This window comes from Homo sapiens, chromosome 10 (genome assembly GCF_000001405.40).
Source record: "Homo sapiens chromosome 10, GRCh38.p14 Primary Assembly".
In the NCBI taxonomy this organism is placed as follows: domain Eukaryota; kingdom Metazoa; phylum Chordata; class Mammalia; order Primates; family Hominidae; genus Homo; species Homo sapiens.
The window spans coordinates 101,661,888-101,679,775 of NC_000010.11; the positions used below are offsets into that span (position 1 = coordinate 101,661,888).

At 43.4% G+C, this 17,888-nt stretch overlaps 1 protein-coding gene across 3 annotated transcripts in view, besides 1 other annotated feature; it reads right to left on the reverse strand.

The window, feature by feature from the left end:
* The window catches only part of FBXW4 (F-box and WD repeat domain containing 4), an 84,630-nt gene that overhangs the window by 51,222 nt on the left and 15,520 nt on the right, over positions 1–17,888 (reverse strand). For 2 of the 3 annotated variants that reach the window (NM_001323541.2, NM_022039.4), the window contains exons 2-5: positions 14,454–14,549; positions 11,601–11,786; positions 11,028–11,160; positions 5,999–6,093 (exon numbers count right to left, since the gene is read on the reverse strand). In NM_001323541.2, the coding sequence (NP_001310470.1) occupies positions 5,999–6,093; positions 11,028–11,160; positions 11,601–11,786; positions 14,454–14,548 (509 nt within the window). In that variant the 5' untranslated portion in view covers position 14,549. The remainder of the gene's footprint in view (positions 1–5,998; positions 6,094–11,027; positions 11,161–11,600; positions 11,787–14,453; positions 14,550–17,888) is intronic. The other variant, NR_136613.2, reaches the window with a different exon arrangement.
* Positions 9,884–9,963: an enhancer, noted in NCBI's record as "active region_3914". NCBI's record gives its function as "activates an Ori minimal core promoter by ATAC-STARR-seq in GM12878 lymphoblastoid cells {active_cell/tissue: GM12878}" and the evidence as "EXISTENCE:reporter gene assay evidence [ECO:0000049][PMID:35858748]".

Sequence of the window (17,888 nt, forward strand, 5' to 3'; positions counted from 1 at the left end):
CTATAGTCATCCACCTGAGTTTTTCCTCGAGTTATCAAGGTCAAGCATCCCCTTTACACCCAGCTGTCCACAGCCAGCCAGAAAAAGAAAAACTCAGAGGCACAATCTTTACTTTTGATTCTTCTTCCCCTAGAAGTACTCAGCGAGTTATGAAGTCCAGGGCCAAAGGACTGCAGCACCACTGGCAACCAAAAGAATCTGAACTGCAAGTTGGCTGCCTCCTTTTCCAATCTTTCAAACCTCTCTGTCAGAGAAAACTCCAGATGCAATTACCTTTCACTAAAGAAAGATGTATTTCAACAGGCCGCTGAATATGCATCTACCACACACACAACACACAGTAAACCCTGTAGCTACTGGGAACAAACACCCTCCTTTCCCCAAAACCCACCCGCTTACCGAACAGTACACAGTGATTGCTTTCCTTCCAGACGCTCCCTCACCTCTGGGAGAAATGAAGCAAGAAGGGGCAGCTCCTCCATCAAAACCCCCCAGAGGCTGCAACTCACTTTACAAATTTGAATCGGTACATTTCATGCAGACTTGGACTAATCCCCTCAAAAACAAACAGGCCACCACAGCAAGCAAAGTTACACAAAATTATATTGTATATTTAATAACACAGCTAAGTCAAGTTTCTACACCTATACCACTCATATATTTCCCTAATGACAGAAGCGGGAGAGAAGGGATTAAAACCCAAGTGTCATGGGAAGCCTTCCTGACCACACTCTCTCACACGATAGCAAGTGTCCTTTGGAGACAGGGAAAGGGTTTTGCTAAGCACCTTTTTTTTCTTGGAGGGCAATACATATGGTGTCTGCAGAGGGACGAGGAGCTGTGGGCGCCTCTCCCTTCCCCTCCCAGGCAAACAGGGTATGTAGATCTGTAGATTCACTTCACCACATGCCCCCCATGGGTGGCTTGGAGGGGACCCTGAAAGCTGAAGATCTATATGCATTCACACTCCTGGAATGGTGCAAGCATTCACAGCTACCTGAGTGAGCCCAAGCCTCAATCATATGCTGCCTTCTCCCACCACTCCCTGTCTCAACTCTGGCCTTCAGGAAGAGAGAATGTTCACAGGTCCCCACAGAGCCTTTTATGGGCCACAGCTACCATCCAAGATGCTGGTGAATAAGGCACAGCAATGACAAAAGGCCTGCTTGTCCCTCAGCACACAGGACATGGGAACAGGCTAGGGAACTGGGTACAAACTACTCCTCTTCTGCCCCATTCCACATGTGGCCCTGCATTGATCTTCCCTGGGCCTCAATTTTTGCCTTTCCCCAGAAGAGAATGACACTCCCCCTTCCTCCCCAACCAGGGACAGCCTAGGTTAAGGCACTTAGTATAATCTGGCAATCATTACAGCCATGTGCCTATCATCTCCCCACCACTGAATAAGATCCTTGGGGAAGCTGACACGTATCAAGTGTTCAGTAAATACACAAGGAGTGAGGTGAAAGGGTGAGAAGGGAAGAGATGGAAAGTCAAAGGGAATGAAGTTAAGTGTTTAGTATTTCTACATTTCCTCATACTTTAGTATTTACTGTATTCAGCTGGAAATAATTTTTAAATGGCAATAAAACATATTACACATTTTTTAAAATCTGCTTTTTGGCCAGGCATAGCTGCTCACACCTGTAATCTCAGAACTTCAGAAGGCCAAGGTGGGAGGATCACTTGAACCCAATAGTTCAAGTGATATATAATTGTGCCACTGCACTCCAGGCAAGACCCTGTCTCAAAAAAAAAAAAAAGAGTCTGCCCTTCTGTGTTACTCTTGGGAAGTTGCTCAGAATTCCATGTGACCTCAGGAGGTTGTATCTCTGAGGCCTGTGAGCTGAAGGTATTCCTGCCCCATAATTATACTCAGACATATGCCCCTCCACCCCAGGCACGCCTCCAGCATCTCATTCCTGGGCCATCTTAACCTGTCCTTCTATCAATCATCCAACAACTCCAGGTGAGACCTCCTCTACAGGAGAAGGGCTTCTTTTCCAGGTCATGAATCTTAAAAACAGGATTACCGGTGTTGAACAATAAGATGGGTAGAAGGGTATGCGAGAGGCAGAAGAAAAGGTCCTTGCCTGCCACTTTCCTTTGGAGCCTGCTGGTTCTCCTTCTGTGTTTTTTGACTGACTACACATGGCTCTAAGCACATAACCAGTACTAAATATGATCCTCCATGACTCTTTACAAATCAAGAACTCAAAGTAAAGTAAGAAAGGAAAGAAGACATTTGAACACAGACAGATACTTGCTTTCTCTCAGTCGTGAGGACCTCAAATTAAGCCTCTGGATTGAGGTTTCATGTTTCATACAAGTGCCTGAGTACATACATAAGAAGATAAGGTAGAAAAGTCCCAGCATCAGAGATAAATAAGATTAATATATCTGACAAATTATTTTAAATAGAAGAAAGAGATAAATTGAGAAAAGAGCTGTGCTAGGTCTCCTAACTGTCCAGGTTCCTCCTAACTGCATAAGGGAGCAACAAAGGGTTGAGAAATTGGCAGGTAAACCAGGAGTACCTGCCCTAGGGCCAGTACACTGGCTGCCACATCCCCTCATATTTTCCATGAGGAGTCCAGGGTCATATCATATTAGTGACACTGACAACCATACTCAACAGGAATGGTGGCAGGGAGGGGAACTGAAGGTGGTCATTGAGGGCAGGAACACTACAGGGGGAAGAGAGATTCCTACTGAGTCCCCACCTCAAGAAGACTGCAAAAGAGCAGGGAAACTTCCTGGGGCCAGAAGGAGCCCAGGAAAAGGGTACAGACTTGACAGCAGTTGAAGCCACTAAGCAAATGCTACACCAGGCAAGAAAGGATTCTGGTTGACATTACATTATAGCCCTTTTTGAGGATCACTTGAGGCCAGGAGTTCATAATCAGCATGGGTGATAAAGTGAAACCCTGTCTCAATATGCATAACACATATATTACAGCCCTTTTAGCTTTTCAGAGTATTAATATTTTCATATAGATTATTTCAGGTCATCTTCACAATATTCTAGTAAGGTCTGTAAAGGAAATAGTATTCATATTTAATATGACGAAACTGAGGCTGGGAGCGGGAATGACTTGCCTGAGGCCACACTGCTAGTTGAAGGCAAAACAGAACTCATCTCCCAGACTGCTTTAAAGAACAGACCCTGAGGCTGGGAGGCAGTGTCTCTCAAGACTGAGAAAATGGCTGAGTTTATTGAAAGGTTCAAATTCAAGGTCACATTGAGAAGAAATGGATCTAATAATGAGGTAAAAAGACCCTATCCCAGTATATTCTTTGGGTAAGAGAAAAAGAGGCAGAGATAACACCGGCATACACTCTGGTCATCTAGTGTAAAGACAGAATCTCAAACACAAACTATTTTTTAAAAGACTCCAAGACCTCAATTCTGGAGTTAGGGGAAGACCATCTTAAAAACTGTTGGTCAGGAGCTGACAGAGTGAAAGAATCATCCCAAGGCTGAGGTGGGAAGATGGCTTGAGCCCAGGAGTTCAAGACCAGCCTGGGTAACACTGTGAGACCCCTCTCAAAAAATCATCCCAGGGCCAAGAAGAGGACAGGAAGACCCTGAAGATGAATGGGAAGAAAACATAAGGCCTAGGTCTTCACCAAAGATGAGACACATCGAGACCTTAGCAGAGGGTCTGGCACAGAGCAGATGACTACTAAATGTTAGCTGCTAGTAGTAGTGGCAGTCATGTAGTAGCAGTAATAATGCCAGAAAGCTAGGCCCTTCCCCAAAGTCAGTCTCCAAGTTGTGGCCAAAAAACCCAAAATCAGTTTACTGTAATCTTAAATGCTTCTTAATGATGAGGGCAGACTCTGTCCTCAACCTCTTTTATTGACACCATCTTCAATAGTTGTTGTGCCCTATTCTGTTAAGAGGTAGCCTAACACATTCCAGAGGAGGAGGCTGGAATAGAGAAATGTTGGGTAGGGATGCAGGGCAGAGCCTGTTTGTGTTCTTTGGCTTCAATCCATATGAAGGAAGCGCACAGACCATCTCCGGCCCTGAGAGCTTCTCTCTACCACCACCTCCACTCCAGTCTCCCAAAACCAGCAGAAGTCCACAAGCAACCATTAAGGCAAAGTCACCAGCACACTTGTCATTTCTCACTGGCCATAGCACTTTCCTTCTATTCAGCCCACGGATACCCAGGTCTGGCTAACTGGCTTTTAAAAGGGCAGCATTAGGAAGAAACTGAGGAGGAGACAAAGCTCAATGGCTCCATTTTCCACTCTCCGCTCCCACACACTTAGCCTCTCCACTCCCTGCTGGTCTTTCCTTCCCTCTTTCCTACGATTGCTAGAATGATTTGTTTTGAACAGCGACAGGTTTATAGGTTAGCCGACACCTCTGCTCTGTGGAATTTTAATTAACTTCTCTCATCGTCAATATGCTAAGGAATGGGGTCTCCATTCTCCGGGGTCAGCAATGTGTTTCAGGTCCTGCTATATCAGCCGTCAAATTGAAGAATTAATGACGTGGCTAATCGGCTCTAATTCTTAGAAAGAAAAAAAATTGAAAGGGAGTTGTGGAAGGGAGTAGGAGGAGGGGTGCAGGCTCCATGGGGTGAGGAGAAAGAAGCTGAAGGGCCTAAACGAAGTGGGTAGGACCAAGTCTCTTATAAAATAAGCAACTGACTTAAACCTAATGTTGGAGGGTGGCAGCCCTACAGCTTTCACATTTCCATGTGAGTAGGGTGAAGGAAGTGGACGAAGATCCTAGGAAAATGTTGTGATAGAACAGGTACAGGAGAGTCTATGTACTCTGCTGGGGAGGAGAGGGATTCTGTCTTGGTTCCAGAGAGCCTCGAAAGCAGAAGTCGGGATGCAAACCTCACTTGTCCATAGGTAAAGTTAGAGATATAACAGTCAGGGCCAGGTGCAGTGGCTCATGCACTTTGGGAGGCCAAGATGGGAGGATCACTTGAGGCCAGGAGTTTGAAACCAGCCTGGTCAATATAGAAACACCCCATTTCTAAAACAAAAAAACAACAGAAACAAAAAAAGAATGAAAAAAAAACCACCCCATTTCTAGGGCTGGGCACAGTGGCTCACAACTGTAATCCCAGCACTTTGGGAGGCCGAGGCAGGCGGATCACGAGGTCAGGTGATCGAGACCATCCTGGCTAACACAGTGAAACTCCGTCTCTACTAAAAATACAAAAAATTAGCTGGGCGTGGTGGCAGGTGCCTGTAGTCCCAGCTACTCGGGAGGCTGAGGCAGGGGAATGGTGTGAACCTGGGAGGCAGAGCTTGCAGTGAGCTGAGATGGCACCACTGCACTCCAGGCTGGGTGACAGAGCGAGACTCCGTCTCAAAAAAAAAAAAAAACCAAACACCCCATTTCTAAATATAAAATAAAATAAATAATAATAAAAAAGAGAAGTAACAATCAGACCAAAGGGTACAGTAAAGCCATCATCAAAATTTCACACTTTTGCTACAATAATCAATGTTACTACTTCACATACATGTCTTTGTTTGAGGACCCAGCTGGATCTGGGCCCCAAGCCTCTCCTGATGACTTAAGACTGTAAGGGATACTCCAGAGGACATTTTCCAAGGGGAACAAAGCAGACATGTGAGTTGTAAGAGCAGGTTGGCTGGTGCTGTCACCTCCGAGAGGTGGTGAGAGGCCTCTGCTTTGAGAATGACCCCAGAGGACAACTGTTCCAGAAGGGACACTTCTGGCTAACAGCTGGACTCTTAGTTATATTCTCATATAGTACTCTTTCCTTAACATTTCTGAGGTTAGATGCTTAGGAAATTCGCATTTAGAAGGTTATCTCAATCCCACGCATATATGAAGTGGCCTAAATAACTCAAATCTCTGGAGGATTAAAAAATCTCCAAGACAGTGACTCAAAGCAACCTAGAATACACAACAGGAAGATTTTCTAGCTCACCTGATCTAGTAAAATAAAAGCATTATTATACAGGACAAAACCACATCCAAATATGTCTCCCTTACCTGAGTAATGGGCTGATAGCAATGGACCAGACTCGGTCTTCAGTCTGGATGGTGTGTAAGCACTGCCCCAGCCGGCCTGAGGCCAAAGGCCACACCTAGAAACAGGAGAGGAGATGCTCTCGTTGGCATTGCCTGGGATCAGTGGGGAGGAGAGGTGCTCCGGGAGAGGTGACTGTTGGAGGTGGAGAAATGGGGAATCCTTTATGCCCTGCACACACAGAGCTCAGGTATCAGCAGAGGGGCCCCTGCAGCTTCTGGCTCACCTACCCCCGCAGATAGGCCCTAGCTCTCCATCCTAACTACCCTCTTTTACTTCCACTGACAGCCCTTACTTACCAGCCAACTTTACACTGGGGAATCAGAAGTTCCACATTCCTCAGCGGAGACTTGACTGAGAAGAAGTGGGTGGGTGGGGCTTGCCTCTTTTGACAGCTTTCCTGTATTTGTGGATTTTCCTTTCTCCCATCTCTCACCAAGATTTTACTTTGGAGAAGTAGGGAGAGGGAAGAAGATCAAGGCATAGTATAGGGGGACAGCAATAGAATTAGGGAGAGAAGTAAAAAGAAACATGCAAGGGAAGGAAAGAATGGAAGAAGAAGAGAGACTTCCAAGTGGGAAGGTGGTGTGTTGTTGTTTGTTTGTTGATAATGCCCAGGATCCAATACTATTCACGTCAGCAGGGAATTTAACACCTAGTGTCACCAAAAGTAGCAGAAAAGCTTAACTCTTTTAAGCTTCCATATCTCCTACAGGTTAAAAATATTGCTTGGAGCACATTATCTGGTCTCTATCAGTCAGGAATGTACATTAGCAGCCACTCTGGGCTTAACTCTAATCAACACTCACAGAGCCCTCTCAGCAGTCAGTGCATTTAGACATCTCCCATTAAGCACAGGGCTCCCCCCTCACTTCACCCTACCCTAGATGACACACACAGGGACATAAGCCCCTAACCAAACAGAAAGGAAATCTCAGACGTACAGGACTATCCCAAGACAGCAGCAACAGAGGGATCCAGAGGCAGCCAGATGGATCAGTGACCTCTTAAGGTCCCAGCAGTGCTATAAGGGGAACACACAAAACTCAGGCAGGACCTTAGATGGAAGAACTTTAAAGGAAACATTCCTTGAGTTTAAAGGGTAGGTGATGGAGTAGGGGTGGTCCTGCCTTCTTAAGAGTCACATGATAACTCTTCCCTATAAAAGGAGAAAGTGTTTTTTAGAGTTTGTGTGTATGATGGGGGTGGGGGATGGGATGATTGTGTGAGTTACTTTTCCCAACACAGTGAAAAGAAAATAAACATACTAAGAGGATCCTAAATGAGGAGGGGCAGAAAACAAAGGTAAACACCACAACTTTTCCTGAGTGCCATGATTCTGGCCTACTCTTTGGACTCCATAGTCAGTCCTCTTTGGCAATAACTAGATACATTTCCAATGTACTCTTTTAGGCAGCCCAGCTAAAAAGACAGCTTTGCCTTTTCCCTGACACAAACTCCCTGGGAGGCAGATTCTTTCTTAGGGGGTGAGGAAACACTAAGGACTCTGATTACAAAATCTATGGGGAAGGCCTAGGCCTGAATTCACTAATGTCCTCCACGGAAAGGGAAGGTTGATTCCTAGATTCTGCAAACCACAGAACAAGGTTCTTGGTCTCCAGGAGCGGCTGAGGAAGCATGCCACCAATTCTGAGCAAGATCTTAGGAAAGTGGCCCTCCTGGCTTGGCCCAGCAGCACATCACCCTCCAGAAACATGAGATTCCATCCTGGCACCTGAGGGACAAGAGTTGACAACAATATGCTGATCCTATCTTTGCCCTCCATGGCCAAATTCAAAACAGATCCATCCCTGGAAAAGATTCAGTGGGAGTGGACTTTTTTTTTTTTTGAGATGGAGTCTTGCTCTGTTGCCCAGGCTGGAGTGCAGTGGCGCAATATCAGCTCACTGCAAGCTCCGCCTCCTGGGTTCATGCCATTCTCCTGCCTCAGCCTCCCGAGTAGCTGGGTCTACAGGCGCCTGCCACCATGCCTGGCTAATTTTTTTGTATTTTTAGTAGACACAGGGTTTTGCTGTGTTAGCCAGGATGGTCTCGATCTCCTGACCTCATGATCCACCCGCCTCAGCCTCCCAAAGTCCTGGGATTACAGGTGTGAGCCACCGCGCCCGGCCGGGAGTGGACATTTATACAGTTCTTTTAAAAAGCAGACTGGTGATACGCATCACAACTTTTAAAATGACCACAGGCTTTAACTCAGTAATTTTGTTGCTGAAAATCTATCCTAAAGAAAATAATCCTAAAACAAAAGAAAAACCTAAATGGTAAAATATTCCCTGCAGCATGCAATTGCAGAGAAAGCATGCATAGGCTTTGGCATCTGATCAATCTGGATTTGAACCCCAGTTGCTACTTATTATCTTTGATCTTAATGGTAACTTCTTAGCTTCCGTGTCCACATGTGTTAAATGGGAAATGATGCCTATCTCAGGGTTATAGTGTGGAAAAGTGGAGATAAGTATAAGGCATCTAGCACAGCAGCAAAGTATTTGGCAGGTATCAGGCAAACAATAATGGTGATTCTTATTACAATAAATCTTCCCTTCTAAGCCAGATGTGATCTGATCTCTCCACCCTCTACACTTTCTGGCTCTTGCCCTAGAGCTTTATACTCCACAGTCCTAGCCACTTCCAATCAGCTCCCTGGCCAGGTACGCACATCTCTTCTCATCCTAAGGATAAGAGGCTTTATCTCCCTTACTTCTGAAGAGCCCAGGTGCCTCTGTACCAAGCCTCACACACAGTAGGCACTCATAAGAAAGAACAGAGAAATAAAGAAGGAAATGAAGGAATGGTTAGTACCAGCCCAGGCTCATTAAGAACATAAGCTACCAGCTGTTCACATCTCAGGATGGGGCTGGCCCCACTAAAGCCCAGAGACACAATCCAAGCTAAGTCACAATAAACCTGAAACTGGGCTTGTGGGGAGGGGAAGGAAGAGGGTTCTTTGGACAGTCCCTAGCTCAGAAGTCTTGCAAAGAGATTGTTTTACTTCCCTTTACCCCATAAAATAAATCTCTTTCCTAAAATACAGTACATATTTGGGAAACTCCCCAAAAATAGATGGTTACAGGCAAATATCACTGCAAATTCTTATGAAGGTTCAGGTGTATTAGAAGCCTGGAGAAGCAGCTGTAGAATTTCAGATGCCACTGAAAAGAAATGATGTTTCAGTTATAAAAGACAAACTGAATACAATAGTAATGTAGAAATGGCTCAGGATAACAAAGGTGGCTGGATGCAAAGACAACAACAGAAAGGAGGGAAACCCAGGCAGCATCCGGAAAGCCAGGAAAGAAGAGTTGGCAGAGAAGTCACAGGGGAGCTGCAAACCAGCTGACCAGCTTGCAGGACCAGAGAAGAGAATTCTGTCACTGACCTAAAAGAAATCCTCAGAAGGAAGAAGATGGACTGTGGTGACAATTTTAGAAGGAAGCACTTATTTTAGATCTTTTTAAAAATCTAAGATACTAAATAGGGCTAAATCAGTACTTAAACATGAAATTAACCCAGTATCTCAAACAAACTTGCTATTCTTCGTCAACTGTAAGTAATCCATGCCCTCAGATTGCTACCTATGGTTATAAAGCTTAGTTTTATACTGTTCTGGGTGTCAGACCACAGAGAATAGAAGAAAGAGGTGTCACTGAAAAGGAGGAACTTGAGTAAGCCTGAAGCCATGACAGGAAGATGGCTAGAATAAGACAGGAGTACCTAGGTCACACATGCCACAAAAGGTTTCTATGCAAATTGACTTTTGAGCAGTATAACAGGTTTAGGCCAGAATCTTTTCAAGGAATGGTACAAAGACAGTGACCAATCAGAAGCCTGAAGTAAGTATGAAGTAGGGTAATAGGAAGCAAGTGACAGGAAATTCAGTTTCCATGTTGGTTCAAAAGATATGCTGGATTTTTCTCAAGCTTCCTGTGCTGGTGTGAGTACAAAGTAAGGCAGAAAACAGTAAAGGGAGGAGAAACTTCCATAAAAAGAAGGGAACATATTTAGCCCTTCTTTTTACATAAATTAGCAATATTTCTATATGGAGGTGTAATCACCAGAGGGTACATGCAGTCAGAGAAGTTACTGAGTAAAGATTGCAATTTCCCTCTCCTGAGTCCTCTCCCTATGTGTTTTAGAGGCCCATTTGCTGACACACCAGCAAGCATTTTTTTCCTGTTAGCACTATGGAACCTAGATGCTAGGAAATACATAACAAGACACTATTGGGCCTCCTGCACCACCAACTGAATTGTCAGCAAAGTTCCCACAGCAACCCTAAAGGACCAGGCCTGTGCAGGCCCTGGCTAGGGCTGTTGGGCACAAGCCTGGAGAAAGACTTCTCTGCTCACAGGTGGAAGCCTATTTGATCCAGATGTGGATGAGTCCATGAAGCCAGTGTCATGCTATTTATCAGCCTTACTTTCTTTTATGCCTTGGTGGATATCTGTGGACCGGGCAATTTGGCAAAGATGCAACAAACAACACCCCTCTCTCATCGTCTCTGCTGCTTACTGACCACATCACTCTCCAGAGAAGCAGTGAAAACACATTTTAATTATCAGCCTGATTGCTTATAAACAAGGTGGTGAAAAATTAACCTCCCTAAACAGAGAGCAGGCAAAAGGAGGGAGATTTTAAAATAAAATATTAGGGTCAGAACTCAACCCACAAACTTGAGGAAACGCAACTCAGGGAGGAAAGGCTGCCAGGTCCTCTGTTTTTGAGTTCACGCCACATTGCAAGTGAGTGGCAACCTTCCCAGCCACTGTCCACTCCTTTCCCAGTCCAGCTGGCAGGGACAACGCCTGGCATGGCAAGCTGCATGCCAGAGGCACATAAGTGAGTCCTTTATTGTGTCGTTTTCTCCCCTGTCCCCAGACGATACTCTCAGCCAATCCTGAGACTCAGGGATCTATCCACCCCCTCCCTATAGACAGGAGGGAGTAATAGTATGTAAGGGGGAGACCACCTCACCTTGGCCGTCCTGTCCCTGGAGCCACTCACAATGATGCCCCCTTTGCAATCCACACAGTTCACCTCCTGTTCATGAGCCGAGTACTTGACAGTGAAGGTGCTGTGAATCTTATGAATGCCAATCTTCCCATCCCTAGGAGAGAAATAAGGAGCCGACCCCCAAGAACCAATTATTCTTTCTGTAGAAAGAGAACAACTCTCCAGAAACAGCCCAAGTCTCCAGTGACATCCAAATTTGCTAAGCATTAGACAATTCAGCCCAGTAAGGTGCTGACTTTCTAGATACCTTTACTTCTTCAGCACACCTGGGGCTGAACAGAGCTGAGAGAAAAAATATATTTTCCCCTGGAGAATATCAAAACCAGCTTCACTTTTCATTAGAAGCTCTTCCTGTTTTCCTTCTCCAGCTAACCCTATTAACTCCTTTTGGTAAAATCTCTCTGCTTTAAATGGAAAACCCTTCTGGTCTCCCTCCTCATCCCTTTGGAGTTAAGACAGAAAAGTCAGAGGCAGGCAGAATGTCCCCGAAGTATAAGATGGAAAAGGGTGGAAGGAGAAACCTATAGCACTTACCCTCCTGCACTAACAATATGCGAGTTGGCCAGCACAAAGTGGCAAACGTCCTCATCATGCCCAGCAAAGACTCCCAGAGGCCGACGATTCAAGCTGGCACCATCTGGACGGAACTGGTAGGCCAGGATGAAATTAGCCTGGGATATGTACAGAGAATCATCCTCTAGCTGCATCCAGGGCATCTGACTGAAATGATGGAAAAGAAAATTTAAAAGTCATCAAGATACAGTATGAAAACTCAACTCCAATCTTTGAAGAAGCTGACCAATCCCCAACTTAGTAAGGATAACCAACAAGGCTTATTATCTATACTTGATACCCTCCTTCAAAATTACCTGCCCATCAGCTATCCTCAGAAAACTAGAGTAACTGAGCCTTGTGGTGATCTAAACTTCCCTGGACTTTGTAAAAGAGACTCAAAATTAAAAGACCAACTAAATACCACTTTTAATTGGAGAATATTTAATATTTCAATTACTGGCTACCTAGACTTCTCATGGGTACGCAGAGCTTACAAAATTCAACGGTCAAGGGGTGAGAAGGGTCAAAAAGAAATCTTCAGCCAGGCACAGTGGCTCACACCTGTAATCCTAGCACTTTGGGAGGCCAAGGTGGGTGGATCACCTGAGGCCAGGAGTTCAAGACCAGCCTGACCAACATGATAAAACCCCGTCTCTACTAAAAATACAAAATTAGACAGGCATAGTGGTACACGCCGGTAATCCCAGCTACTCCAGAGGCTGAGGCAGGAGAATCGCTTGAACCTGGGAGGCGGAGGTTGCAGTGAGCCGAGATCGCACCACTGCACTCCAGCCTGGGCGACAGAGGGAGACTGTCTCAAAAAAAAAAAAAAGAAAGAAAGAAATCTTCTAGCCAAGTGAAATAACTTTCTTTCATTCTGCATCCTCATTAATTTGAAGTGTAAGTGGGAAGTTTCAAGGTTCTAGGATTCCCATACATACCTCTTCCGCAATAGATCAGTTAAGGTGTGATGGAGAAAAGAGAAGAATAAACCTAGGGAAGCCCCATTCCCTTATTCTGTTAGAGCTAAGGGGTCATTTATAAGTGAAAGGAATGAAGCCATTTAGGAAAGGATGCTAATGTACTGATTAGATACCTAGATCCTCACAGGGATATCTACATTTCTGTATTAGAGAGTAAGTGTGGCAATGGAAAAACACAGCCCCAGAGCATTCTGCTACAGTTCAGGGGCTACAGAGAAAGTCAGCTCTCACAGGCAACTGATAAGAGAAATCCACAAATAGTTAGATTCCCTCTGCAATCTGACAGGAGGAAGAAAGGCTAGAAGCCACAGACAAGTCCTGTGGCAGGGAATGAGACTTAAGAAGAAAGAAGACTGTCAGATACTAGGCTCTCTGGTGGAAACTAAGCCCCTTTCCCAAGGTGGACATCCCACCTGTCCTATTCTACATAGGGGTTCTGGAGTTACCAGGTCCCAAGAAAAGCACAGGGACAGCTGACTCATCCCCAAGAACAGCCACCATCTCCTATTCCCAAGCCTGTCTGAGTAAACTGGGCTGTGTTTCTTCCCCAGACTCGTACAAGTGTCATGGGAATGTGGAAAAGTTCTGCAAATTGACTTGACGGGCCATTAAATGCAGCTTAGACTTTGTAGTAACTGAGTTTCTGCTCATGAGGTTTTTACAAGTGTGTGCATATATTACATGGAACATGTGTAGAGTGTGTACAGATGCCTGCTCTCTCACTCATTATGCACATTCCTCTTCAATATCCCCTTGCGTGAGTGTGTGGCACACTCAAGTAGGCAGCAAACAGAGAGGGTGGGAATTTTTGTGTTTAGAGCCATCTGGTAAACAGCCATTTGCCTAGGACAAGAAACCAGGTTCATGCCAGGTGAACAGTGGAGAATCCCAGGGCAGCCTGGTAACTGTTCTGTGTGTTTATTTGCCAAACTGCTTGAAACTAGCCCCAAAAGGCAAATGTGGGAAGCAGAGGGTAAAGTCCTTCATCATAAAAATCCGTCTTTCTCTCCTGTAGTTTCTTTACCATCATCACCACCACTACCCAATACCACATTATTCACAGTATCTGATGCCAGTGAAACCAGTGCAAACTGGATGCAAGCAGGAAAGAAAGGTTCATCAGATGAAGAGGGCCGCCTGTGTCTTCAGCACAGGTACAGGTCACTCTGGAATGTGGAATCATGATGTTCCCTATCCACTGCAACCAATCAACAAGGAGCAATTTTTTGGTAGAGAGTCAAATAATAACTATGAAATCATTTAGCACCAATGAAGCATAAAAATTGGTAGCATTAGCAGTGCCACAGGCATTTTCTAAATTTCCTTATACTTGCTCTAAGCTCTAACTCCTGTAACATATATATCCAAACCTTTAGATCCTACCCTGCCTTTTAATAAAGTAGGGGAGAGGACTCAGGGAAGCCAAGAATGAAGAAGTAACTCCATAGAGTAGAAGATTTAAATAAAAATATTTGTAAAATAAGATGAATTGAAACCTTGATTTATTTCCTTTGATGGCATATGTTAACAGAGGTTACCTCTGAGTGGTGGAGTTACAGGTTAGTTTTATTTTCTTCTTTAGAATTTTCTTTTTCTTCAAATTTCTAAAATAAGCATTGATTTCTTTATAATCATAAAAAAAGTCATTTGTTAAAGTACATTTCTTGTATTCCCTTCTTTAAAATGTGAAAAAGTTGTCCTTCTGATGCCCCCTTTGTGTTATTCAAAGGCTCACCAGTGCCCACCCACCCAAGATAGCCCCATTAGCCTCTATGTAGGACCAGATTTTTTACTTTCCATTATGCTTTTATGTCCCAAGTAGCTTTTAAAAAGTCAAGAGGCTACTTGCCTGCATCTCCACTTCAGCAGAATCCCCTCTCGGCAGCGCCCCAGTCTCCAGTTCTGAGACACCTTCACTCGTTCCTTCACTGGGACACTGGTCATCCTATGTCCAGACAGAACAGATAATCCAATCACTACAACTTATTGCCAACCACAGAAAATTTCATGGGCTTACTGAGTCAGGATTCAGGAGCATCCAGAATACAAGTAAAGAGATTAGGAGACCAGGAAGGAGTAACTGTTCTCTCTCCATACTTGACTAAGAAAGCCAAGGAGAAAAGCCTGTCCTTTAAACTATCAAAAATGTTCACAGTGATGCCAAAGCAATCTAATGGAGAATGCATGACAATCCTGGAACCACTGGATGTCCAGATTGGGAAAAAAAAAAAAAAAAAAAAAAAAATGAAATGAATCCTGACCCCTACCTCACACCATACAGGAAAAGTAATTCAAAACAGATCATAAACTTAAAATCTAAAACTATAAAGCTGTCAGAAGAAAATATATAAAAACATCTCTCAGACTAAGAAGGTAGACATAGATTTCTTAGGACACAGAAAGCAATAACAGAAAATAAAAATCCAGTAAATCAGACTTCATCAAATCCAAAACATCTGCTCACCAAAATGAATACACAAGCCGTCGTCTGGGAGAAAAGATTCACAGAATGTATATCTGACAGGAATTTGTACCGTGATGAGGAAGTCCTCTTTGTATTTGTTCATATATTTTTAGAAGACCAATAAGAAACTCGCCTACATTGTTGGTGGGAAAGCAAAATGGTACAGCCATTTTGGGAAAAGGTCTGGCAGTTTATTATAAATCTAAACATATGTGTACTCTATGACCTAGGAATAACCTTAGAGAAACAAAAAGACTTACACAAGAATGTTCATAGGAATTTCAGTCATAATAGCCAAAAGTGGTAAACAGCCCAGGCATCCATCAACAGGAAAGTGGATAAACACACTAGGGTAGGTTCATATAATGGAATACTACTCAGCAAAAAAAAGGAAAGAAGTACTGATACACAACATAATGTGGATGAATCACAGAAACATTATGTTGAATGAAATAAATCTTACACAAAAGAAATCGTAGTGTATGATTTCATTTACATGAAGCTTGAGAAGAGAGACAACTAACCTATGATGAAAAAATCAGAACAGTCATTACTACCAGGATAGGGATGGAGACTGACTAGGAAAGAACATATGGAAACTTTGAGGTAATAGTCTATATTTAAGTCTTGAGGGGGTTTGGGTTATACAAGTTTATATGCATTTGTCAGAAATGGACCAAATGTGCAGGATGTAGTGGCTCACAACTGTAATCTCAACACTTTGGGAGGCCAAGATGGGAGGATCACTTGAGCCCAGGAATTCGAGGTTACAGTGAGCAGTGATTCCACCACTGCACTCCAGCCTAGGCAACAGAATAAGACTCCCTCTCTAAAAAAAAAAAAAGAGAAAAGAAATACATCAAATGATACACAAGATTTGTGCAGTTTACTCAAATATAAATTCACTGTATATATTTTTTTCTTAAAAAAAAAAACCCATAAACTAATATACTCTAGTCAATGATATGTATGCACACTGAAGCCTTTAGGGATAAATGTACTGATATCTGTAACTTATTTTAAAATGCATGATAAAGCAAATACAGCCAAATATTAATTGTAGAACCTAGGTGGTGCATATATGAGTGTTCATGGTACAATTCATTCAACTTTTCTGAGTTTTAAATTCTTCAAAACATTGGAGGGCGAGTGTCAATAGTACTTTCTGGGTGAGCTGAGTTAACAGCAATAAGAGAAGAGAGCACACAAGCTACAGGAATGGCACTGTTTGGGGATGGGTTAATAGGCAATAGGGAGAAGAGCTCTAAGCCCCTTACAGAGTACGCCTTTGAAGAGAATTTTGAAATCATGAGCAAGAATTTGAAAATTCCACTTTAGGTTCCCATATATCTCCTGTGTCTCCTTAGCTTGCTCCACTGCCCATACAAGGTACACTGCTTGGGACAAGAGTGATAACTGCCATGTCTGCCTGGAAATTTGCTGGCCAGGGAGAGATACACTAATTTCTTTTTTGTTTGTTTGTTTTTTGAGACGGAGTCTCGCTCTGTCACCCAGGCTGGAGTGCAGTGGCACGATCTCGGCTCACTGCAAGCTCCGCCTCTCGGGTTCACATCACTCTCCTGCCTCAGTCTCCTAAGAAGCTGGGATTACAGGTGCCCACCACCACACCCAGCTAATTTTTTTTACTGTTTTTAGTAGAGACGGGGTTTCACCGTGTTAGCCAGGATGGTCTCGATCTCCTGACCTCGTGATCCACCCACCTCAGCCTCCCAAAGTGCTGGGATTACAGGCATGAGCCACCGCGCCCGGCGAGATACACTCATTTATTCGAGCCTCTACTTATACCGTCACATTTGCCAAATTTTACTAAAAGCCAGCAAGCAAGTCCAGCTTTCAAGATTCTAATGGACACAGGTTAGAAAGAATGGTTTTGGCAGGCAGAAAGAAGATACCTAATTCACTTTTAGCTAAATAATATTCTGCCTCCTGGTGTTATTTCACTTATTTATTCATATAGAATAATTATTTTTGGTTAATAAAGTAGTAAATGCACAGGATAAAAAAACACACACACACAGATAGTATGAAAGGTTAACAATGAAAAGTGAGTCTTTCTCGAAACCCCTAGCCAAGACTCTCCCTCTCTAGAGGCAACTATGTATTCACTGTAGATAAGTATATATGCATGTTGCCCAGGCTGGTCTCCAACACCTGGCCTCAAGCAATCCTCCTGCCTTGGCCCAGGCTGGTCTCCAACACCTGGCCTCAAGCAATCCTCCTGCATCTGGCCAGCTGAATACTATTTTTAAATTATACAGAATGTTATAAATCTCTCTGGATCATTATTCCAATTGTAATTTATTTAACCAACATTTAATGTGGTGCTCACAATATGCCAGGCACTGTTTTCATTTGCCCAATGCCTTACGCATATCAGTAAGTGCTCATAAAGAGCAATTATAATTCTTATATTTCTAGAAAGTATATTCTTTTCAATTGGAAATAAGCAATAAGCAACTGTCTTTGATTTTAAAAAAAGAAAGCAAGAAATGGCCCAAACTGATATGAATTTAATATATAACAAACAGAAAATTGTAAACTAAGGAAATAAATCACTTTAATTAGTGCTATTGGGTTTGTATAGCAAGTTGACTTCATGAGAAGGAAAGGAGAGAGGGAATAAGAATATGCATGGCTAGAAAGAACACTGGAAGGATAAAATAAAACACCCATAGTTAACTGTGGATAGTCAACTTTGGGTGTTTTTATTTTCTCCTTTATGCTTTTACATATTTTCTAATTTTTCTTTTTCCTTTTTAAAATTTTTTTACTTTCAATAGCTTTAGGGGTACAAATGGT